Raw genomic sequence first — 25,175 nt, 5'->3', positions numbered from 1 at the left:
AGCACATTTGAACTCCCACATCTTTTAAGACCCAGGTAAAAATGCCATGTTAACCTAATTAATCTTTCACGTTTAATGTTGGTTGCCTCTGTGACATTTTGTTCTTTTATATTTTTAGCTCATTTTACTTGTCTGTGTCTCTCACTTGGACTGTAAGTGCCACTGGGATGGTAATTCTTATTAATTTTTATATTCCATTGCCCAACTTAGTGCCTGGCATATGATAGTTACTTGGAAAGTATTTATTAATTAGTGCATTGATTATACACCTGAAGAGCCACACTCTTCATCTGTTTGCCTCCTCTTTCGCTTTTTAAAGGTCTGAGTGACTAAAGAGATCAGAACAGGAGGGCACATCCTAAAAGCAGGATGCCCCATGATCCCCAACTCTAAAATCGAAAGAGAAGTTTGGGAGGAGAAAGACCTAAAGGGGTCAAGAGTAAAGACAATGTATGATTGAATATTGAGATTAATGTCTAGTGTCCTTTACATTTCAATCAATATTAAGGATAATATTATAAACATCGTTTTTACAAACTTAAGCATTAATTTTACTTGTAGGCCCTGTCTTTACACATTATTGGCAATAGAGTCTCAGTAGAAACATCAGAAGAGTTTCAGGCATTGGAAAGGAAAGCAAGTTAAAAACTCTTCTATTGTCATCGTTTAGTAAAGAAAAGAAACCCAGGCCTAAGACAACAACAAATTGTATCTGGGAAACTGGAAATAGGTTAATTCTTGGTATTCTGGGAAAGATGACTAGGGAGTAGCCAGGTGCCCTACAATTTGATATTCCTCAGGAAGCCATTGTCTCCCTCACAACTTGGCAGCAGCATTCCCTTTCTTACCCCATCCAACTCACTCTCTGCAGGTGCCATTGCTTGCAGTTTTTCTTACTTCTCAAGTTGAAACATTCTGCAAAAGGCTTTATGATACAGTTGGTAAGGTAGAGTGTTGCTAGTCATATAGGTCAGGTTATTTTTGGTTGGGTAATTTATTGTATGATTTGGAACCTAACTATGTAGTGTTTTTCTGTGATGAATCTGAATTCTCAGACTTACAAGTGGACTTTTAGAACATAAACACTTTGCACAATAGAGATTGTCTTGAGCAAAGAAATTCATTCTTTTTAGAAGATGTGAGAGAGAACAGGATGTCTGTTCAGTTTTATTTCCTTTTTCTAGGGGAATCTCTGCCACTCTTCTAGTTAGTATTGAAGTATATTTTAATTCTGAAGTTGAAGATAAAATGGATTCTTCAGACATACAACTTGTATTAGTAAATTATAATTTTACTAATTATAAATTAGTAAAACTTGTATTTGCTTTTATTGATGGTTTAAAAATAAGTTTCTTGTTGAGATTGTTTTGAGTAATGAGAGATCTTTAAAATTTTCAAAAGGAGGATTAATTCATTTGTTAAATATTTCTTGCCTGCCCAGCACTGTGCTAGGTGCTGAAAATACAATGGTGATCAAAATAGACATTGCCTTTGTCTTCTTAGACAGTTTATAATCTATTAGGAAAGAAAGATAGCACCCTCCTCCCCCACCCACCAACAACAAACAAAATGAATATAAATTTTGATCAGTGATATCACAGGATACTGAAATACAACAGTATGGGGGGACATAGGACATTGGAGGGCTAGGGTAGCTAAAAAAGGCTTCTCTGAGAATATGGAATTAATGCTAAAACCTGAAAGATGAGAGAGAGTTAGACATTCCAGGAGTGGAGTAGCATGTACAAGGGCACTGCGGCAGGAAAGAGCTTAGTTATATGATTCTTAGAACTAAAAAAGGCCAGTGTGGCTGGAGCAAAGGAAGAGTAGCACAGGATAAATTTGGAGGAGTAGATAGGCTGTATTGTGTGGGGCTTTGTAGACCTGATACGGCATTTGGATTTTATTTAAGTGCAGTTAGAAGCAGTTGCAAAGGATTTTCAGCAGGGGAATGGCATGAAAGCGCTGAAAAGATGACTCTGGCTGTTGTATGCAAAGTGCTGAATGGAATGAAGGAGACCAGTTAGGAGGCTGTGGCAGTAGTCAGTGCAAGAGATGATGGCAGCTTGAAATAGGGTGGTGCCAGTGGAGACTGGAGTGGAGATTTTTGGAAGTGGATTTGACAGTTTGCTGATAAATGTAAGGAATGAGGGAAAGCGAAAATCAATGACTTTCAGATTCCTAGCTTGAGCAACTGGGTTGACGGTTGGTGCTAGTTAGTATAATAAGAGTAGGGATAAGAAAAAAAATTGGGTTACATTTTAGATAAATTGAGTTATCTGTGGGACATCAAGAAGAGATGTGAGATAGGCAGTAGGGTGTATAGGCTGGCGTCTGAGTAGAAGGTTGGGCTGCTGACACCAGTGACGAAAATAAGTGTCTTTTAAAGCTATGAGAATGGATGAGACACCTGGAGAGCCAATGTAAGGAAAGAAGCACACGGTTCCTAGAAGATGGGAAGGGCAGCAGAGCGTAGGAGGTGGGATTGGCTTTAGATAGACAGGAAGAGACACTTTTTCATGTTAACACAAAGACAGGAGGCCCATCTGGGTACAAATTTAAGAAGGCTTATAGATGGGTTGGCGTGAAGGTGAAAGAGTTTGAATCTGATGGCTTCTGTGTTTTCTGCAGTAGAATCCATGGTTGTCTACTGAGAAGGAGGAGGATTCTCAGAAGTGTGAGAAGTTCGAAACACCGTGGTAGACAGAAAAAAATAGTAGGTTTCCCCAAGGGTGTCTTGGGCAGTCTGCCTGGCTATGAAATGAAAGAGGGAAAAGTCCTCTAAGTTTAATAGATGAGCAACTAAGTGGTATAGGTAAATGGTATGAGCAAGTAGCCTGAAAAGCAGGAGAAAGACGTTTTCTGGTCTGCTGAGTCTGCATGGCTTGCTTACAGTAGGTCAGAACCAGCTTCTTTAGTGGCTTTGTCACTAGAACACTGGGATTGTAGTGTTCTTTACCTCCAGTCAACTCTTGATTATGGTAATAGTTATATCTCATTTGGGGCTCAAGAGGATCCTAAAACAAAAGTAAATGGTACAGAGAATTACAATATTAGCAGAGTACAAAAGTATATATTTATCAGAAATAAGTCACGTGCCCAGAAAAGTTATCTGTGCTTATAAGTCACAATGACATGTTGCCTTAGCAAAGATTATCTAATGTAAACTTTGCTTCTAGTTTATGGACGTGTGAGAATACTAAACAAATTTTGCATTTCTTTCCTGAATTAGTACTTTAAAAATATGCAACTAGAAATTTATCCTCCCTAAAAGTAATATTTTAACCTCCTCTTCATTCCAAACTCTAAGTTGCTTACTTATTTTTAAGATGTGGTTACTTAAGGTAAGAAAAAGTAAGTTATTTGATCAACTTTCTTTTTTTAAAAAAGAATTACTTCATTTTTCTCTTTAGTCTGACAACATTATGGCATTAAATAAAGTCCAAGAGGTATTGGGCTGGTCTTTGTTTGGTCTCTGGTGGTTTAGATGAGGCAGAACTGAGTCTCCAGGAATCTGAATATTATCTCAAAAAGTTAGTAGCAGCCACTGTGCAAAGTTTGAAGGCCCAAGTCAAATCTGGGGCATATCCATGGATGTGTGGTAAGGCATAGGCTCCAGCTCTCGTGCAGAAACAACAGGAGTGGGATTTGATCAACTTTCTATGCAACCTTGACCACCCAGAGTCAAGGGGTCCTCCCACCTCAGCCTCCAGGTAGCTAGGACCACAGGCACAGGCCACCATGCCTGGATTTTTTTTTTTTTTTTTTTTTTTTTTTTTTTATAGGGATGAGGTTTTGCTATGTTGCCCAGGCTGGCCTTGAACGCTTCGGCTCAAGCCACCCACCCACCTCAAACCTCCCAAAGTGTTGGGATTACAGACGTGAGCCTGGCCAATAATTGCGTCTTAGTAGCCTGTATCCAAACAGTCAAGTAGGAATTGGTAATCTTATTAGGAAAACATTAAATAGGATGTTTTCAATAATGTCTCCCTTCTCTGTGCTCATATTTTCTAAGTGTAAGCAAGCTGGAATTGCATAAAGTGGGGCATAATATTTTCTCTAGCAAAAAGCTTTGAAATATGTATTTTTTTCTTTTTTTTCTTTTTGGTGACTCATGGAGTGGGAGAGCACTGTGATACCAAAAGCTGTTTGGTAGACTAAGCAATATTTACTCAGCCTCTAATGATGAGAAACCCAAGCCTTCTGTTCCTTAGAATACACAGATGTTTATTTGTAAAGCAAGTGTACGACCACTTTCTGAATTTGAGGAGCATTCTGTTACAGTTGAGGGAGGATATTTTTGTTGATTCAGTCAATGTTGTAGCAATTTGCAATGTTAATGATAGGAGTTTGAGTGTCTGTCAGATACTGTTATGTGCACGTGATACGGTGTGATGGGATCTGTTAAATAAGGGAGGAGGGACACAGAAATAATTCTTTCCAGAATGCTGGCAAAATGTTTTGAAGAATTAAGATATTTTACTAAAATTTATTATAGAAGTTAGAATTTTGCTAGGTATAGTAAACTATAAGTAGTTCTTGTCTTAAAAGAATTACTAAACAAGCCAAATTTATAAGTAAATCATAAAATCCCTTTTCTTCCCCAGAGAAGGAAAACAAGTGATGGCTTCATAATAGTACAGCTTTTTACCCCCCACGCCCCACCCCCGAGCCTTTTTGAGAAAGCTTGTATTTGTGATGGGTTACTTCTGAAAGTTTAACATCAAAATTTAAAATATAAGATATACTGAATAAAAGTTGGCCTGTACCTGGAGGATAACTGAAAATCATGACCTTGGAGAAATGGACTCTCAGAGCAAGTTTTTGAGCGTAGTCTATGCCTTGAATGGTTTTATAATGCAGATGAATGAATCTACTCCGGTGATGTTTGCTAACTTCTGGCCAAGTGCCAGGCTGAGTGTGTGTGTGTGTGTGTGTGTGTGTGTGTGTGTGTGTGTGTGTTGCACTTGGTCATCTAATGTTTGAAATACCAAGCCTGCCATTCTGGAAATCAGAAATGTTTATTTAGAACATAGTCCAGAGTCTAGATTAGAACATGTAAGGGAGTTCCTGTATGGAAAGTTTTCCAAAGCTTTAGTTTATGCAAATTCAGGGAATATCAACAGTTATTTCATTATGGATTTTGATGCCACATGGAAAACTAAACCACTACTTTAGTGATACAGTAGTATTTTCATTTGCTTGCCATTATTCGTAAGTATTTTAAAGTCATCATAATGTGTTCATGCTTCTACTCAGTCTTTAGCTAGAGGAAAGCTTCAATGTGTGGATGTCTGAAATCTGTTCTGCACATAGTGGGTTTTTCAAGTTACAGTTGCATAGTCTGTTATGATTTAACTTGCCACTTTAGAGACAAGCTGTGCTGTAATACACTAGATAACTAAGTGCTTTCAAGAGTTACCGCATCTGTGCCGGGCGCGGTGGCTCATGCCTGTAATCCCAGCACTTTGGGAGGCCAAGGGGGTTGGATCACTTGAGGTCAGGAATTCAAGACCAGCCTGGCCAACAGAGTGAAACCCAGCCTCTACTAAAAATACAAAAATTAGCTGGACTGGGTGTGGTGGTGCCTGTCTGTAGTCCCAGCTACTCCAGAGGCTGAGGCAGGAGAATCACTTGAACCCGGGAAGTGGAGGTTGCAATGAGTTGAGATCACATCACTGCTCTCCAGCCTGGGCAACAGAGCAAGACTCCATCTCAAACGAAAAAAGAGTTGCTGCATCGAGATAAACTACCTCACACACACACCTATATACACAATTTGTGCAGTTAAGTGCTTTTTTTTTTTTTTTTTTTTGAGACAGAGTCTTGCTGTGTTGCCCAGGCTGGAGTGCAATGGCACAGTCTTGGTTCACTGCAACCTCTGCCTCCTGGGTGCAAGCCATTCTCCTGCCTCAGCCTTCCCAAGTAGCTGGGATTGCAGGTGTGCACCAACAGGCCCAGCTAATTTTTGTATTTTTAGTAGAGATGGGGTTTCACCATATTGGCCAGGCTGGTCTCAAACTCCAACTTCTGACCTCAAGTGATTTGCCCACCTTGGCCTCCCAACATACTGGGATTACAGGTGTGAGCCACCGCTCCTGGCCTTTAAGTACTTTTTGATGTGCAGTTAGTTTTTATGCTTGCCTGGGCAAATGCTTCTCAGTTGGTGTACCATCATTTTTCTCAGGATTTTCATCAGTGTATACAATTTGTTTTTGCTACTAATGAATAGAATAGGTATGTTCTTGTGATAGTCTGAGCAGAGCCAATTGTGTGACTTGATATGGAGATACTGTTAGTTTCAAAATAAGATAGGTAGTGTGATATAAAGCCAGCACCAAAGAAAGAGCTAATTTTCTGGAAGTTGGGAAAACATTGCTTTGCCTGTTTGAGGGGGCTCAGTCGGGTCTTTAGGAAGTTTTGAAGTGATACTCTGCTGAAGGGCAAATTAGTGAATGATAATTATAAATAATTATAAATGATCTGAAATACGAAATCATTTCAGCCACTTTTAAAATAATGCTGTAATAGCTTTCCCTTTTTAAAAATGAAGCTAAAAATACTCCTTGGGTCTGCCATTTCCTTTCTATCTACCAGCTATTATTCTGTGTATTTACCAGCTATTATTCTATCTATTGATCGCTATTATTCTCCTTGCTGCAGTAAAATATCCAGGAAAAGTTTTCTGTATTTCTTATTTGTACTTCCTCACCTCCCAACCATTATAACTGAAATGGTTGTCATTTCCACTCTCACATTAACTTCTTGCACACTCTCTTGCAAGAGTGAACTCTTGCATACCCCCATCACCACACTTCTTCAAAATTATCAGTAATGATTTTGAAACAAGTGACTACTGCTTAAAACCATTTCCTAGACCCACAGAGATTCTGATATATTTGGTTTGAGAGATGTCACCAAGGTGGTGGAGTATCTGCCCATAAAAAAAATACAGACAGCTGTTCACAAACCAAAATAGCCCTAGTTTAGGGTGGGGCCAGGCATCAGTATTTTTTAAAAGCTGCTCAGATGATTCTAATGCCAATCAGGCAGAAAACTACTGCTCTAGGGCCTTATCTCATACATAGTAACACCTAAACCATGCACTGTGACCTACAAGGCTCCTGCCTGGCTCTCTGATGCCACCTCCTGCTGATCTCCATTTCCTCTCCTCTAGCCACCTTGGTCTCCCTCAATGGTGCTGGAACTTTGTTTTGTTCATCATCATATCTCTAGCACTAGAACAGTGCCTTCTTGCACACAGTACATGTTCAACAGGTATTTGTTGAATTCACGAATTCAGCACGTCTGATGTTCTTATTCTGTGGTAGTGATTACTCTGCAAGTAGTGCTGACTAGGTTGGTAGTGTGTTGAGTCTTCAGGAATGCTACTGAAAAGCCCAGTATTTGAACATAAGTCACAAGCCCCCACAGTCCAGCTTACCCATCTTCTAACACTGTCTTCTACTTCGCTGTCAGAACACCTACTTTTCTGTTTTTATCTTTTGCCATGAGTGGTATTGACACTTCTGATTTTTTTCTGGTCTCCTATTTCTGCTTTTATTTTGTGTAATTTTTTTTCTATATTGTTACTCATCCACTAGTTTCTCTGGGTAAAAAAGACTAGTTTTACCAGCGTTGCCAGTCAGTAAGAGAGCTTATTTTTTTTCTGTGGGTAAACGGACCACTCATAGGATGTCCAGTATGTAATCTTTGGATCCTATCCCCTTCTCTTGGTGGGTGCAGGTTGATAGCTCCTTTGATGAGAAACTGAGGTGGAATTCATGGGGGAGGGACAGGTTTTAAAGGGAAGGATGAGTATCAGGGGAGATATATGTTTCTGAGGTCACAGTTGGAAGCCTAATTGATGGAAAATTGAGATTTTATTGTACCATTATCTAAGTGCAAGATAACACTGCTTACAACAGGGGCCTGCAAAGTTTTCTTTTCTTTTCTTTCTTTTTTCTTAAGTATGGATAGTAGGTATTTTGGGCTTTTGGGCTTTGTGGGCCGCCATGCAGTCTGTGTCTAATGTTGTGGTGCAGAAGTAGACATAGACAATGTGTGAACAGAGTAGTGTGGCTGTGTTTCATAAAACTGTTTATGGGCATTGAAATTTGAACTTTATATAAAATTATGTAAAATACTGTTCTTTGGATTCCCCCCCCAACCCCCACCAGTTAAAAATACAGTCAGGAGCCATGTAACAGTGTTTCAGTCAACTACAGCAGACTATACAACCGTGGTCCCATAAGATTAATAATACCTTAATTTTACTATACCTTTTCTATGCTTAGCTACACAAATATTTATCACTGTGTTGCAGTTGCCTACAGCATTCAGTACAGTAACATATGTACAGGTTTGTATCCTAGAATCAAGAGGCCATACCATATAACCTAGGTGTGTAGTAGGCTATACTGTCTAGGTTTGTGAATACGCTCGTTGATGTTCACACAACAGTGAACTTGCCAAACATCGCATTTCTCAGATCTTATCCCCCTTGTTAAGTGACTCATGACTGTACAAAAACTGTTCTTAGCTAGTGAGCCATAAAAAGGCAGAAGGCAGGATTTGGTCCTTGGGCCATTCATAGTTTGCTAACCTCCAGCTTCACATTTATGTAGTTTTGACTTGGAAAGTCGAGTTCTTGACCAGTAGTCCTTTTCATACCTCACATTATAAAAATTCTTTAGATTTTGTGGTTGGTGGCACATTACCTCTTTATTAGTGTCCATATGTAAATTTTGTACCCAAAAGCTCCTTATCACGTTAGTGTCTTTGCCCTCTATGTTTTAGCACCTACTCCTGGGCCACATTGTTTGAGCCTGTCTTTTATTATGTCTTTGCAGCGCCCTGCTTCTACAATAAAACAGCTGTTTTTTTTTTTTAATTTAATAAACATTCCTTTCAGGCTGTAACAGGTGCTATGGAGGCCCCCCTCTTTCACTGTAGTTCACCTGCACTCCTGGTGGGCAGATCCCCAACATGCTGACAAGCTCTTTTCCTTAGGTGCAGGGATCTCTGAGCTTGCTCTGCCTGAGTGCAGGGCAGCCAGCCCCATGCTGGCAGCCAAGAAGTGTTAAGAGTTTTTAATGTAATGGCCCCAGGAGTAACCCTTAACAAGGAAGTGGAGAGATACCTCATCTTTCTCCTCTGTGGGAGAGTTCTGAGGCATGCCCTGAAGGACTGAACTGCAGGTGCTCACAGCAGTGAGGAACCTCCAGTTGGCTTTTCTCCCCATCTCACTTTCACTGATCCCCTCAAGTGTGCTTCCTGGGATTTCCTTCCCACAAATAAGCTGCTTGCACCCAAGTTCTTAGGTCAGGGATGCCTTCTGGAGGAACCCAAGTGACATGTGCTGGTGGACTCATAGTGCTCTTACAGCTCTTTTTCTCCTTGCCTCCCCACGGGGAGTATATGATGGAGCTTCCTTAGTGGGTGACATTGACACTAGATGTGAGAAAGAAAGTATTACAGGTTGAATATTCCTTATCTGAAAGCTTGAGACCAGAGTGTTTCTGATCTTGAATTTTGAAATATTTGTATTGTACTTAACCGGTTGAGCATTCGTAATCCAAAAATCTGAAATCTGAAATGTTCTAAAGTCTAAAACTTTTTTTTTTCCCCTGTTTTCTGAGCATTTTGGATTTCAGAGTTTCACATTAGGGAGGCTCAGCCTATATATACTACCTACCGATCATTCAGTTCAGCTCAACAGTAACTCTACTTGATTACCAGCATTCTTTGCAGGTTATCTTTTTCTGCCCTTAGTTTTCTGTTCCTGGAAAGAAAAGTAATATGTGATCAGTCATCTAACCTTGGTTGTCTTCTATAAGGTAGATCAGAATTTTCTGTTTCCAAAAGTTAGTTGGCAAATTCTGTGCTAGAAAGTAGGGTGTAGGGTACTATATACAATTAAGTATCACTGTTAAGCAAGTAGTTATAAAATAGCAGTTACATGCATTCTTTTGCCAAACTTCAAATAACATGATTGGCAGGACTTTGCCAAAACCACAGATGTTGAAATTTCAAAATGGTAATACGATCACAAGTAGCTGTAGCCGTAATTCTCCCATTAAAATACTTATTGATTAAAATAGGTTTTTAATGTCTGGAGAATTGAAAGTCTTTTTCTACCTGTGGCATGTTTCTTCCATAATGAGAACTTCAGTCGTATCAAGTAAATTTCACCATTGTAGAAGGTGTTTCAGCCATATAATCAATGTGGAAATCTGATTTTTTATTTAGGGATAGACTAGTTATGTGTGTGTGTGTTTCAATTTCTAGATTAATACATACTTTTAAATGTCTTAAAGTTGATAAACTCTTTTTAAAGGTACGACTATATTAAAATGAGCTTTATCTCAGAAGCATGATAGTTTTAATTTTTATTTGCAAAAAATTATTCACTTTTTTTTTTCTTGAGGTAGGATCTCGCTCTGTCACCCAGGCTGGAGTACGGTGGTGCAATCACAGCTCACTGCAACCTTGATCTACCTCCCAGGTTCAGTCCATCTTCCCACCTCAGCCACCTGAGTAGCAGGGACTACAGGCACATGTACCATGCCCAGCTAATTTTTTGTAGAGATGGGGTTTCACCACATTGTCCAGGCTGGTCTTGAATTCCTGGGCTCAAGTGATCTGCCCGCCTCAGCCTCCCAAAGTTTTGGGATTATAGGCGTGAGCCACTGTGCCCAGCATTCACATGTTTTTCCTTCCCCTGGAAGTTGTTTTCCTTGAGACAGAGTCTCGCTCCCTTGCCCAGGCTGGAATGTAGTTTCACATCACAGCTCGCTGCAACCTTGACCTTATGGGCTCAAGTGATCCTCCTACCTCAGCATCCTGAGTAGCTGGGACTACAGGCACATGCCACCATGCCTGGCTAATTAAAAAAAAAAAAATTATAGAGATGGGACTTCACCATGTTGCCTTGCCTGGTCTCGAACTCATGGGCTCAAGCGATCCTCCAGCCTCAGCCTACCAAAGTTCTGGGATTACAGGCATGAGCCACCACGCTGGGCCTGTTCTTTTTGTGTGTGTTTTGTTTTGTTTTGTTTTTTGAAACATCACTTTCCCTTTTTTTGGCACTTAGTAAGTTTAACATACAGTTGATCCCAGCAGTCTTTACTTTGATTGCAGCTTTAAAAACCAACTTCCTATCCTAGTCATAAGTAAATAAATAACTAGTTGAAGTTGGATTTTACTGCTACAAGTTTATTGTTACGACCTGCCTTATCTGGGGGTAGCTAAATCTTGTGTAAATTACATTCTTTTCTTTATTTGGTTTCATTTAGTTGCATAAGGCTGTTAAATAGTTGAACAGATATTAATGTTTCCTGTTATACTTGTACCAAAACGTGCTCAGAGAAAAATGTTGGGCAGTGTGACTTTAGATCCATTTTCGGGGATCTATTTGGGAGAGCACATGTGGCCAGAATGTAGTTTTTTATTTTTTTATTTTTAGAGCTTTCTCTTAAGTTATAGTGTTTCTCATGGGTGTTTTCCCTGTTCCTCCTCTTCACCTAGGATATTGGTCTCTGTTCACTTTGGTTCCCCATCTTTTCACCACCCATTATTCACCTTCACACATTTCTGCAACTTCATAAACCACAGTCTGTTCAGTTTCTCATCAGAATGTTATTGTCCATTCCTATAGGACGAGTTCCAAGCCCACCAACTCCTTGTCTTTATTAATCCTTCCTATTCTAGCCCTCAGGATTCTGTTTTCTGAGAATAAGAGGGTACTTTCTCTGTCATCCATGTGTCCCATTTTGTAGTTGACTCAAACATTCTTAGTTGCCCTATATATTCTGCCTCAGCTGCCTTGTGTACTGGCTTTTCAGGACAGAGCGTGTTTTCTCAGCTGTTAATGTTTCTTTTGTACCTGTCACATAACAGTAACTTAGTAGTTAATTATTGCTGTTAAATACCCAATTATCTAGTTTTCTGCTTTTAATTTCTCAAAATCACCTTGGTGATTTTTAAGTGATTTGTTTATTGTTTGTTTTTTATAGATGTAAAAAAAGATTGGTCTGACCATGCTCTCTGGTGGGAAAAGAAGAGAACTTGGCTTCTGAAGACACATTGGACCTTAGATAAGTATGGTATTCAGGCAGATGCTAAGCTTCAGTTCACCCCTCAGCACAAACTGCTCCGCCTGCAGCTTCCCAACATGAAGTATGTGAAGGTGAAAGTGAATTTCTCTGATAGAGTCTTCAAAGCTGTTTCTGACATCTGTAAGACTTTTAGTAAGTATTACATAAATTCTTCTTAAAATACGAGTTATGTGATGTACAGATGACCGATGACTGACATAGCTTATCCCAAGGGATGGGGCATGGGCTGAACTATCTGTATATATGTATGTGTGTGAAATTTCTACTTCATTAAAGTTTTTATATTAAGATAAATGCTGGGTTAAGGTGGAACAGGAAGAACCTAGTAGAGATTCTTTCCTTACTAGAATTGTATCTGATATTTAATACTTTATTTTTATGGAGAGGTTAAAGGAACAGGCACTATTTTCAGGGGAACATACATGGCTTTGCAATGTTTCCTTCACATAAGTCACTATTTGATTTTAGTGATTCAGGCAGATTGTGTCACTTCCTCCATTGAAGGCCTGACACAGCTCCTAAGGAAATGACTATGAGTGTTGTCTTCCTTCACCAGTCTACAATTTGAACATCTCTGTAGTATTTCTATTTATGCATTCTGAAATGAGATGTGGGTTACTTTGGCTGACCCAGTTATGTCATATGACAGGAAGTATTCAACCATCTGAGAAAATGTGAACTGCTGTCACTACCACTAGTGCAGAACTCTGCTGTATTTTTTCCTATTTGAGAAATTCTTGGTTAAAGATACATTTAGTGACTTCTCATATTTTAATTCCAAATAAAGTACTGCAGTTTTTTATTCATGTTAAATTTTTAAATTATACTAGTAATTTATAAATACACTCTGTTGTAAAAGAATCAATGAATATAGACATACATAGTAAGCTCCCCCTTCCCCTAAGTAATCATTCTTGACAGTTTGGTGATTTTCTATGCATTTATTTGTCCATACATATCGGATTTTTTTTAATAAATAGGAGCATTTTATATGTATTTTTTAAACTTAGTAATGTCTTAGAGATCTTTCTATGTGTTATACATTCTTTTAAGCTGTAATTCAGAGTATAGACGTACTATTAATTTACATCCAATTACTTCTTGGCCTTTTTGGCTAAGATCAAGTATAATTTATAACCACATTTCCCTGTTAATGATCAGTTAGGTTGCTTCACTCTTAGAGCAAATGCTGCAACATTTTCAAATGTTTTAAATATTGCTGAAAACATTTGAAAATATTTTAGTTGGGCTAGCGCCAGAGTACCCAATCTTCCTTGCTGGTGTCAGCACCCACACTCACTGCTAGAGCCTGTGGGCAAATGCTGCTCCTGTACAATGCCTCAAGCACTGACCTGTGGACAGTATGGAGGTGCTGAGACTACCTACCTCTTAACCCAGAGCCCTGCCTGCTGCTTATGCCTGTAGGCTTGGAGCTTGGAGGAGTCTGAATCCTCACCCATTTCTTGTGTTTAGTTTGGGCTGTGGCTTCCCTTAAACCAATACCAACTTTTTTCTGTCTTCAAGAATCACTCATTATTTACCCTCTTACTGTAGTTTCCTGTCTCCTAGCACTGTTATGGATGTTCATCTTCCCTCCCCGCCTACAATTTTTAAATATCTTTTGCTGTCATTTCAGGGGATTCGGGATGTAGGAGGGGAGATACAGGTAGATTCACATTGCCTTTTTGATCTAATGCCCTTGAAATTTTTTTTAAAGTGAAACAGGGTTTTTATTATTATTATTAAAATAGAGAAAAATACAAAGAATACCAAATTCCCATTATCTGGAATTAATAATTGTTGATATTTTGTCATTTTGTCAAATGACAAATATGACTTGAAGTCAAAGTAATACTGGTAAAATTCTTGAGTCTCATTATCCTAACTTCCCTTTACAAAGCAACTACTATCATAAGTTCAGTGTGTATCCAGTACTGTAAAATACACAGACACACACATACACACACACACACACACACACACGTATCTCTGTGTGTATATATCCATAAACTGTATATGTTATTGCCATTACCACGTAGGTATTTTCTTACTAAGTTTTGTACGTGTGTGCAAGAATTTCTCTCGAGTATCCACCTAGAAGTAGAAGTAAAATTGCTGTTTTAAATATATACATAATTCATTTCAGAGTACTGTCAAATTGTCTCCCAGTTGGTTATACCAGTTTATATTCCAACTAGCAATGTATGAAAACCCGTTGCCACAAATCCTCACTAACACTTGATTATGGTCTGTTTTGTTGTTTTTGTTTCCAAGAGAAAAAGACAGTATTTTGTTTTAGTTTACAAAGCTAAATATGTTTTTAAATCATTATTGGACATCTAAGTTCCTTTTTTTAATTGTTTATATCATTTGTCCATTTTTGAGAAATTAATAAACTGTAGTTTTTACAGGAGTTGTAGGTTCACAGCAAAGTTGAGCAAAAGTACAGAGAATTCCCACATACCCTCTGTCCTCACACATGCACAACCTTCCCTACTCTCAAAGTCTGTACCAGAATGGTACATTTATTGTAACTGGTGAACCTACCTTGACATACCATTATCACTCAGTGACAGTAGTTTATGTTAGGGTTCACTTCTGGTGTTGTACATGCTGTGGGCTTGGAAAAATATATACTCGTGTATCTACTGTTGTGGTATTGTACAGAATAGTTTGACTGTCCTAAAAATCTTCTGTGCTCTGCCTATTCATCCCTCTCTCCTCATCACCACCACTCATCCTTTTACCTAGTTTTGCCCTTTCCAGAATATCATATGTTTGGACTCATACAGTATGTAGCCTTTTCATATTGGTTTCTTTCACCTCGTAATAGGCATTTAAGTTTCCTCCATGTTTTTTTGTGGCTTGATAGCTTATTTCTTTTTTTTTTCTTTTCTTCTTCTTTTTTTTTTGAGACGAGTCTCGCTCTGTTGCCCAGGCTGGAATGCAATGGCGTGATTTTGGCTCACTGCAACCTCCACTTCCCGGGTTCAAGCAATTCTTCTGCCTCAGCCTCCCAAGTAGCTGGGATTACAGGCACCTGCCACCAAACCGGGCTAATTTTTGTATTTTTAGTATAGATGGGGTTTCATCATGTTGGCCAGGCTGGTCTCGAACTCCTGACCTCAGGCGATCCACCCACCTCCGCCTCCCAAAGTGCTGGGATTACAGGTGTGAACCACCAAGCCCAGCCAGCTCATTTCTTTTTAGTGCTAAATAGTATTCCATCGTCTGGATGTGTCACAGCTTGTTTATCCACTCACCAAACGATATCTTGGTTGCTTCATTTTGAATAAAGCTGCTGTAAACATCTGTATGCAGGCTTTCAAGTGGACATATGTCTGTTCGTCCATTCTTCTTTTGTTTTATCGTTCACCATTGATTTGTAGTTCTTTATAAATTCTAATATGTGCTGCAGATAATTTCTCCTGGTCTATTATAAACCTTTGTTCGTGATTGATTTTATGTACTTTTTATTTTTGTCTTTTTTGGTCATGTAGAAGTTAACATTGGTTTGTGTTTGTGGGGTATTGTTTAAAAAAGCTATTCCTATTTTGAATTACAGGTATCATCTATATTTTCTGCTAGTACTCTTAGAGTTTTGTTTTTCATGTTTACTGCTTTTATCTACTTAGAATTTACTTTTGTGCATTTGGTGAAATAGAGATGTAGTATAGCATATTTTAGGAGAAAATGCTAGCCAACACTGTTTATTGAATTGTCTGTTATTTCTCCACATAAGCATAATGTCAGCTCTGTCATAAACCAAAATTCCATGTTGTGTGGATCTGTTTTTGTATGCTCTCTTCTTTTCCATTGATCCATTTATATGTCCTTACATGGATAGTACACTATTTGAATGTCTGTAGCCTCATAATAAATCTCTATATCTGATAGAGCAAGTACCTCTTCTTTGCTGTTTTTCAGAATTGCGTGGGTTGATTTTGGAATTGTATGTTTCTATATGAAATTTGAAACAGTTTGTTAATTTCTAGGGAAAATTCCATAGTAATTGATTGGAAATGCATGCATTAATGTTATGTAGATCTTACCATTCATGAATAAAATCTGTCTCCTTTTGTTGAAGTAATCTTTTTTGCCCTTAAATCACATTTTGTCTAGAAAGATATTGTGCTTTTTAAAAAAAGTTTTCTTCCAGGGGCTTTATACTTTTTCTAATTGGATACTGCTATTAGGAATGCTGTTTATTTTTTTTCTTATAATCTAATATCTGATACCTTACTGAACTCTTTGATAAATTCTGATAATTTATTGATTCTCTTGGATTTTCTTGTTTTTTTAATTTTTATTTATTTTTTGTTATGTATTTATTTTGAGACAGAGTCTCCCTCTGTCACCCAGTCTGGAGTTCAGTGGTGGTATCTTCGCTCACTGCAACCTCCACCTCCTGGATTCAAGTACTTCTTCTGCCTCAGCCTCCCAAGCAGCTGGGACTACAGTTGCGCACCATCATACTTGGCTAATTTTTGTATTTTTAGTAGAGACGGGGTTTTGCCATGTGGGCCAGGCTGGTCTGGAACTCTTGACCTCAGGGGATCCGCCTGCCTCGGCCTCCCAAAGTTCTGGGATTGCAGGCATGAGCCACCATGCCCGGCCTTCTCTTGGATTTTCTATGTAAGCAATCATGTCTCTTCTAAATAATAACTTTTCTCTCTTCCTTTCCCATTTTTATACATCTTATTTCTTTATCTTATGGTATTGGATTAAACCTCTAGTACAGTATTGCATAATAGCGGTAATGATGACTGTTGTTGTGTTGTTCCTGACTTAAATGGAAATGCTTTTAACATTTGACATTCAGTTTAATATTTGTTGTTGTTTTGGGGGGAGATCTTTTCCTGTTTTGTTTTGTTTTTTGCTTTTTGAGATAGTATCTTGCTCTGTCACCCAGGCTGGAGTGCAGTGGTGTGAACACAGCTTGTTGCATCCTTGACCTCCTGGGCTCAAATAGTCCTCCTGCCTCAGCCTCCCAAGTAGCTGGGACCACAGGCATGCACCACCATGCCTGGCTAATTTTTATATATTTTTTTTTTTGTAGAGACAGGGTCTTACTATGTTACCCAGGCTGGTCTTTAACTTCTGTGCTCAAGCAATCCACCTGCCTCGGCCTCCCAAAGCAGTAGGATTACAGGCAGCAGCCACCACATCTAGCCTGTTTTTTGTTTTAATTGCTAGCGCCTTTAACTCAAGAATGCATGGGAATTTTAACCAAATGGAGCTTAGGGAGTGACTTGCCCAAGATCACGCAGAGACAGACAAGAACCTACCTATGTGGTTCTTGTCACTCTCTGAGACAAGAATCTGGAGCTCCTTATACCTTACTTCCTTATACCTATCTTCACTGGCATCCTGTCATCAAATCTCGTCACTTTTTTCCTATAAAATGTTTTATGCATTAATTCTTCATTCCACACTCTGCTGTATAGAATGAAGTTAGATGTTGAGAAGATTTTCAGGTTGTTACGCTAACACTGCTCCACCTTCCTAAATATATCTGTAGTGGGTGGTTGGTCTTTCATTACTACTACTACTACTACTACTACTACTACTACTGTTTTTGGCTGCATGGCATTGAACTTCTGGCTCTGTGTTTGGAAATGTCATATCTTATGACATTTCCAAAATGTGAGACAAAGCCCACCTCCCTCCTACAGAAACCATAAAGTCCAGATAGTTGTTTCCCAACCCTCCTCATAGATAGAGTGCAGGCAGTTGGCCAAGTCTAGGTTACGTGCACATCAGAAAATGTCTCCTAGAACTTTGAATCAGGAACTCGTGACTCAAGCCAGGATAACAAATACCTCATTCTAGTGGCAGAAGTGGTAGCAACATCTAGCTTCTAAGGACAGAGAAGCCATATCCAGTGAGAGCGCTCATCCATGCATTGAGTATATTGGCCCATTTACTCCCGAGGGATCTCATAGTGTTAGAATTTTGTGTTTGCAATGTTAGAAATTTAGGTTACAAAAAGATACTATGTAGTAAGCATGTCTACATTATCCCATTTATGTTTAAATATCCACCTAAAGATATACTCAGAGGTATTTCACTAGAATGTTGACAGAGGTTATCTCGGGGTGATATTTCAAGTTTGTGCTTTTTATCCCCAGTTGTGTTCTTACACTTTTGCAATCGTTTGTTGTTGCTGTTTTTAACAATTTAATATGTAATATTTGTATAAACAAGAAAAGAAAGCTATCTTTCATTCAAGGATCAAAATCACTTTTAGCTTTTTATGTTTTTGTTTATCTCTAGAATGTAAACTTCTAAAGTCAGAAACATGCCTTTCCATCTTTGTATTCTCAGCATAGGGCATGACCTTAGAGAACATTAATTGAATGAATAAGAGGAAAAAAATGATGGAATAAAGAAATAAGGATCAGTTAATCCTATCACTGGGATCGAATGGAAAGTAATGATCTATGGCCAGGCATGGTGGCTCACACCTGTAATCCCAGCGCTTTGGGAGGCCAAGGCAGGCAGATCACTTGAGGCCAGGAGTTCAAGACCAGCTTGGCCAACATGGTGAAACACTGTCTCTACTAAAAATACAAAAAGTAGCCGGGCATGGTGGCACACACCTGTGGTCCCAACTGTTTGAGAGGCTGAGGCAGGAGAATCGCTTGAACCGGGAGGTGGAGGTCGCAGTGAGCCATGATGACACCACTGCTTTCCAGCCTGGGCAACAGAGTAAGACTCTGTCTCAAAAAAAAAAAAAAAAAGTAGTGATCTGTTACAGGATGTTCAGGGAATTTCTGCTTCACTGGGTAGTTACATTATATTTCCTCTAAACAGTCTTAACAGCTGTTAAGGGTCTGTGAACTGTCAGTATTAATGGGTAGAAATTTACATAATATTTTGACAAATTATAAGACTAAAGTCTTTCCTGCAGAAAAGAGAGGGTCTTAATGAGTGGTAATTTTATTTGTAGATATATTAGAGAATACTCCAAGAACTAAGGCACTTGATTATGAAATTGTCGAAAACAAAAGGGGTTGTGCTTTATAGACTAGTCGTGTTTACATGAAGGAGCAGATACCAAGGGCACAGATTTCAGAAATCTAGGAGGTACATAAAATTTAGATGATCACAGTATTTGGTGAGAGTCCAAGTACTTGACATGTGTGAATAGATAGATGTCTTCTCATGCTGGCAGCACGACAGGGAAGGGGGGTATCTGATAGCAGGCTCTGTGCTGCAGTCTACTTAACATCATGAAGAACTGGGGGTAGGGTGGGGGTCAATATCACAGAGCAGGGTTCCTAGGATGGGGTCTCCATTTGGAGGAAACCAGGAGAAAAACTAGGGTGTAAAGATCCAGTCAAACAGTTACACAATTGAGGTTTGGCTACAAAAGTAAATAAGAAAACAGCTAATTGGTCTTAAATAATAATGTAATATATATTTAATAAATGCATATTTAATACATAATTTAACACTGTTATTGCTATAAATATTCCTCAGAAGTCTATAAAATTTTCATATGTGTGTTAGAAAAGAGGGAAGGGTATTTGATTTGCCAAGTGATTAAACTGTGTTGGCAAACTCTGGCCTGCAGCCTGCTTTTTTTTTTTTTTTATTTTGAGATGGAATCTCACTCTGTCACCCAGGTTGGACTGCAGTGGCGCGATCTTGGCTCACTGCAAGCTCTGCCTCCCGGGTTCACGCCATTCTCCTGCCTCAGCCTCCCTAGTAGCTGGGACTATAGGCGCTCGCCACCACGCCCAGCTAATTTTTTGTTTATTTAGTAGAGACGGGTTTTCACCATGTTAGCCAGGATGGTATCAATCTCCTGACCTTGTGATCCGCCCGCCTCAGCCTCCCAAAGTGCTGGGATTACAGGTGTGAGCCACTGTGCCCAGCCCACAGCCTGCTTTTGTGTAGCTCAAGAACTAATTATAATTAGGCTCTTATATTTTTTTAATGGTTAAGAAAAGTTAAAATAATATTTTATGCTGTGAAAATTATAAAAATTCAAATTCCCATGTTCATAAATAAAGTTGTATTGGAATATGGCTACATTCATTGGCTTAGGTATTGTCTGTGGTTGCTTTTGCGTTATAGCAGCAGTATTGAGTAGAGCTGCATACCCTAAAATATTTACTATCTTTACAGAAAAAGTTTGCCAACCCCGGAATTACATTATGGGAAACATTAGTGGTTTATTTTTTTCTTTTTTCACCACTGAAACTGAACACTGAAGTGACAGTATATAACTCTTCCCAGGAATAATTAGGGTTTTTTCTGTTAATTATTTTGGATTAGTTGATTTTCAACCCAAGTTATTAAATATTTCCCCTTAATTAATTTAACTCTCTTGTATCTACTCTTGTGGCTTTTGCTTACTTACTGTACGAGCAGTAGAATTAAAACTAAGAAAGATGAGGACATTTCCATTGCTACCAAAATATATTGTTACCTAAGGTTACCAAGTAAATGTGAAGGGTGTGCCAAACACTGAAAAAGGACAGTGATCCAAGACCAGCAGAACACTATTTAAAGGGAAATAACCTACTTTTGCTGAACACTGACATCATTTCCAAGCTTTTTATTTGGTAAAAATTATCTTTCTTTTATAATTTAACTCTTGAGAAAATGCTTCTGTGTAATAATTTTTTCTTCCAAAAACGCACTTTCAGATCAGTGCTTCTGTGTAATAATTAAATGAAGTTTTTGTTGCATTTTCCTTTTCTTTTGGACAGAAAGACTGTTGTCAAAGAACGTCATTTTTTTTTTTAATGTAACGTATTCTGGCACACAGGCTTCACAAATGAAGAGCCTTCTTAAGAGGAAAGGAAACTTTTTCTCCCAAAATCTGACAACAGAGAGCTACTATAAAATAACATATTTTGTGTTTAGAGCTTGTTACCATTCTGTGTTATCAATAGGACATGTCATTTGGGTCTTTCGGCTTTAGATACATGCTAATTCATTCCTATTTTTTCTCTTTCTGTTCTAGCCTTATGAAGAAGAATCTATTTGATAGGGATGGAGAAGCACAAAATGCTAGTGGAACAGAACTCAGATTGACTAAAGCTCAGTTGTGTTTAAAAAATTTTTGTAATTATAAAAGTGATTTAGGTAAATTAAGCTGTACATAAGGACTCTGTACAAAAGCTTTTAGTGGTAACAATAAAGATTGGATTTTTATTTACTCTATTTTAATTAATTTATTTATTTTTGAGATGGAGTCTCGCTCTGTCGCCAGGCTGGAGTGCAGTGGCGCAATCTCAGCTCACTGCAGCCTCTACCTCCTGGCTTCAAGCGATTCTCCTGCCTCAGCCTCCCGAGTAGCTGGGACTACAGGTGCGCTCCACCACGCCCAGCTAATTTTTGTATTTTTAGTAGAGACAGGGTTTCACCATGTTTGCCAGGATGGTCTCGATCCCTTGACCTCGTGATCCACCCACCCTGGCCTCCCAAAGTGCTGGGATAACAGGCATGAGGGATTTTTAAATAAAGATGAAAAGGAAATGAAGGATCACTTAAACTACTTTTTTGTACTGCAGCCTCCACCTCCCGGGTTCAAGCAGTTCTCCTGCCACAGCCTCCTGAGTAGCTGGGATTACATGTGCCCGCCACCACACCTGGCTAACTTTTGTATTTTTAGCAGAGGTGGAATTTCGCCATGTTGGCCAGGCTGGTCCTGGACTCCTGACCTCAAGTGATCTACCTGCCTCAGCCTCCCAAAGTGCTGGGATTACACGCATTAGCCACCATGCCCAGCCAGAAATCTAGATTTAACAGTGCCTTAAACTAATAAGAGCCTTCTTTTTCACATAAGAAGTTACTTGAGAAAATGAAGTGGTTGCTGGAACTGGATTTGTTGTTCAGTTGTGTCTTCAAGGACAAGCTCTTTCCATCCCTCAGTTCCTCACCCCTCAGCATGTCAGGTTGGCCTCATGATTGTAAGATGCTTCCTAGAGCTCCAGGCATACGTGGGTTGAGTAGCCCTCATCTGAAATTTGAAGTGCTCCAAAATTCGAAACTTTTTGACTGCCAATGTGACATTCAAAGGAAATGCTCCAATGAGCATTTTAGTAAGGTTAGGGGTGCTCAACCTAGAGCTGCATTCAGGAGGCACCTCTCTCTCTTTCACCTCTCTCTCTTCCACACCTGTGTCCTAACAGCAAAGCAGAACATCCCAGAAGCCCCCCTCACATCCTCCTGGCCCACCTTGGGTCATATGGCTGCCCTTAGCTGCAAGGGAGACTGGGAAAACATGAATATGACTTGACTTTTCCAGTTTCCTTATGCTAGCCGCAAGCAAGAGGGCTGAGAAATGGCAGGTCAGTTAGCCCATCAGCAGACATGCCACATGCCTTTTTAAGTATCTAGTCAGTCAAACTGAGCAATAGAGCCAGGAGTTTAAAGAAATAAAAAATGAAATTTTTATTGAGGACCCAAGGGGCGTCTTATAAGCCATGTCCTTTAATTTTATTTATCCTTTTGATCAGCTTTGTTAAGGTATAATTTAAGGCAAAATAATCGTAATGGCAAAATTCAGTGCATTTTGACCAGTGGACCACCAGCAAGATGTAGGACAGTTCCCTGATGCCCCTCTGCTGGCAGTCCTCTTTACCCTTCCGACCTCTGCCAACCATTTATCTGCCCTCTGCTACTATAGTCTTGCCTTTTCTAAAATGTTAGATAAATGGAATCCTATAGTATTTGGTCTTTTCTTTATGGCTTCTTCCACTTAGCATAATGTGTCTGACCTTCATCCATGTTGTGTGTTATCAACTCCATCTTATTACTGAGTAGTACTCTGTTGTATGGATATACCATAATTTGTTTATCCATTCACCAGTCGAAGGGCTGGGCTCATTATTTTAAAAAAAAGCTTCTATGACCATTCACTTACAGGTCTTTGTGGGAACATAGGTATTTACTCAAGAACAATAAAAACTACGGTAGGTTTCTGGGTCATATGATAAGTGGATGTTTCAGCTTGTAATAAATAGTCAAATTCTTTTCCAAAGTGGCTGTACTATTTTGCATTCTGCCGGGCAGTACTTGAGAGTTCCAGTTGCTCTGTGTCCTTGAAACATTTTTCAGTTTGGGGTATTCTAGCAGGTGTGAGAGCCTATCTCCTTGTGGCTTTAATTCGCATTACCCTAGTGACTAATGATGTTGAGCATCTATTCATGTGCTTAATTGCCACCCCATATAATGGTGAGGTGTCTGTTTGAGTCCTTCGCCTGTCCGTCTTTAAATTAGGCTGTCATCTGATTGTGTTGTAAGCATTCTTTGCATATCCCAGATATGGACATTTTATTGGATATGTTTTGCAAATATTTTCTCACAATCTGTGGCTTACCATTTCATTAACAGTGTTTTCTAAGAGCAAAAGTTTTCATTTTGGTGAAGACCAATTTATGAACTCTGTTGTCCCATTTCTTTTCTGTTTCCCTCCTTTCTAGTAGATTAAGGGGTTTTTGGTGGGGTTTTTTTTTTGGTGGGGGGTGGTTGTTTTGATTATATTCATCTCCACTTGTGAATTACTAGCTATTACGACCTTCGTTTTGCTATTTTAATGGTTGCTCTAGGGTTTACAGTATATGACTTTAACTTATTCAGCCTACCTTCAAATAATATACTACTTCACACATAGTATAATAACCTTACAGCAGTTTAGTTTCATTTCTCCCTTCCTGTCCTTTTTGTGTCATGTATTTTACTCCTATATATGCTAAACCCCACAGTACGTTATTTTCGCCCTAAAGCAGTGAAGTATTTAAAAATGAGCAAAATGGTTTTTCATATCACGTATTTACCATTTTTCAGTGCTCTTTATAAGTATCCTTTCCATGTAGTCTCCTTTTTCTTCTACCTGAAGAACTTCATATGCCTCTCTTCTTATAGTGCAAGTCTACTGGTTATGAAGTTTTGACCTTTTGTTTGTTTATAGAAGTTTTGATTTGGTCCAGGCACAGTGGTTCATGCCTACATGTAGTCCCAGCACTTTGGGAGGCCAAAGATCACCTGAGCCCAGGGGTTCAAGACCAGCCTGTGCAACATGGCGAAACCCCATCTCCAAAAAATACCAAAAAATTAGCTGGGCATGGTGGCATGCACCTGTAGTTCCAGCTGCTCAGGAGGTTAAGCGGGGAGGATCGCTTGAGCCTGGGAAGCAAAGGTTGTAGTGAGTTGAGATTGTGTGACTGCACCCCAACTTGGGCAACAGAGGGAGACCCTGTCTCAAAAACATTTTTTTTTTAATTTTGCCTTCATTTTTGAAAGACACTGCAGCTGGGAGAAGAATTCTAAATTCCCCCCCCCCCCCCAATAATTGATGTCCCTCAGTTGTCTTCTGGTTTGCATAATTTCAGAGAAGTCTGTTATTGTTCCTCTGTATGTTTTCTGTCTGCCTTGGAAGATTTTATCTTTACCTTGGTTATCAGCAATTTGATTATGATGTATCCTGAAATAGTTTTTTTAAGATTTATTCATATCTTCAAGTCCATTGATCTTTCTGCTGCTAATTTGCTGTTAATCCCATCCAGTGCCTTTTTCATTTAAGATGTTTTTTTCATCACTAGAAGTTTGATTTTGGCTTCATTTTTATATAGATTTTTCATTTTTCTATTATGTGTGTTTTCCTCTAGTTTCTTAAACATATGGAGTATTTTTATATAGCTATTACAATATTCTTTATCATCTGAGTTATTTGTGCTTCCCCACCCCCACCCTTTACTCCTGACTATGTGTCATTATGCGTCATAGTGGCTGGATTTTTTTGTATTGAGTAGTCTTGAATTTTTTTCTGATCACCAAATTACTTGGAATTAGTTGGATTCTTTTGCTTTGAAGCTTTATTAGGATAGACCAGAGGCAACATTAGCCTTAGCACTAATTTAGCCTCATTACTGAGGTCATAGTCTTCTGGGGATTCTTCTCAGTACTCTGTCTTTCTGTTCTCCTTGACAGGAACATTAACTCTTTTAGCCGTCGGTTCTTTCCACAGTCTCTGGTAGCTAGACTCCAGGAAACACCTCTGCAGACCTCCAGAGCACTCTCTGTGGAGCTCCCTTC

At 39.0% G+C, this 25,175-nt stretch overlaps 1 protein-coding gene and 1 long non-coding RNA gene across 8 annotated transcripts in view, besides 2 other annotated features; one reads left to right on the top strand and one right to left on the bottom strand.

Annotated features, from left to right (window-relative positions):
• Positions 1 to 25,175, top strand: part of FERMT2 (FERM domain containing kindlin 2) — a 93,778-nt gene that overhangs the window by 19,677 nt on the left and 48,926 nt on the right. For all 7 annotated transcript variants that reach the window (NM_006832.3, NM_001134999.2, XM_006720010.4 and 4 more), the window contains exon 3: positions 12,018 to 12,251. In NM_006832.3, the coding sequence (NP_006823.1) occupies positions 12,018 to 12,251 (234 nt within the window). The remainder of the gene's footprint in view (positions 1 to 12,017; positions 12,252 to 25,175) is intronic.
• The window catches only part of LOC105370500 (uncharacterized), a 138,447-nt gene continuing 114,411 nt past the window's right edge, over positions 1,140 to 25,175 (bottom strand). The window contains exon 3 of the long non-coding RNA XR_943867.3: positions 1,140 to 3,017. This is a non-coding gene — a long non-coding RNA (uncharacterized LOC105370500). The remainder of the gene's footprint in view (positions 3,018 to 25,175) is intronic.
• Positions 5,269 to 5,563: a silencer, noted in NCBI's record as "tiled region #10339; HepG2 Repressive DNase matched - State 5:Enh, and K562 Repressive non-DNase unmatched - State 24:Quies". NCBI's record gives its function as "represses a minimal TATA promoter and a strong SV40 promoter by Sharpr-MPRA in HepG2 and K562 cells {active_cell/tissue: HepG2 | K562}" and the evidence as "EXISTENCE:reporter gene assay evidence [ECO:0000049][PMID:27701403]".
• Positions 12,646 to 12,755: an enhancer, noted in NCBI's record as "active region_8398". NCBI's record gives its function as "activates an Ori minimal core promoter by ATAC-STARR-seq in GM12878 lymphoblastoid cells {active_cell/tissue: GM12878}" and the evidence as "EXISTENCE:reporter gene assay evidence [ECO:0000049][PMID:35858748]".

The sequence above is a fragment of the Homo sapiens genome, chromosome 14, assembly GCF_000001405.40.
Source record: "Homo sapiens chromosome 14, GRCh38.p14 Primary Assembly".
Lineage (NCBI taxonomy): Eukaryota > Metazoa > Chordata > Mammalia > Primates > Hominidae > Homo > Homo sapiens.
The sequence above is the reverse complement of the archived record's forward strand: the minus strand, read 5'-3'. Positions and strand labels throughout refer to the sequence as shown.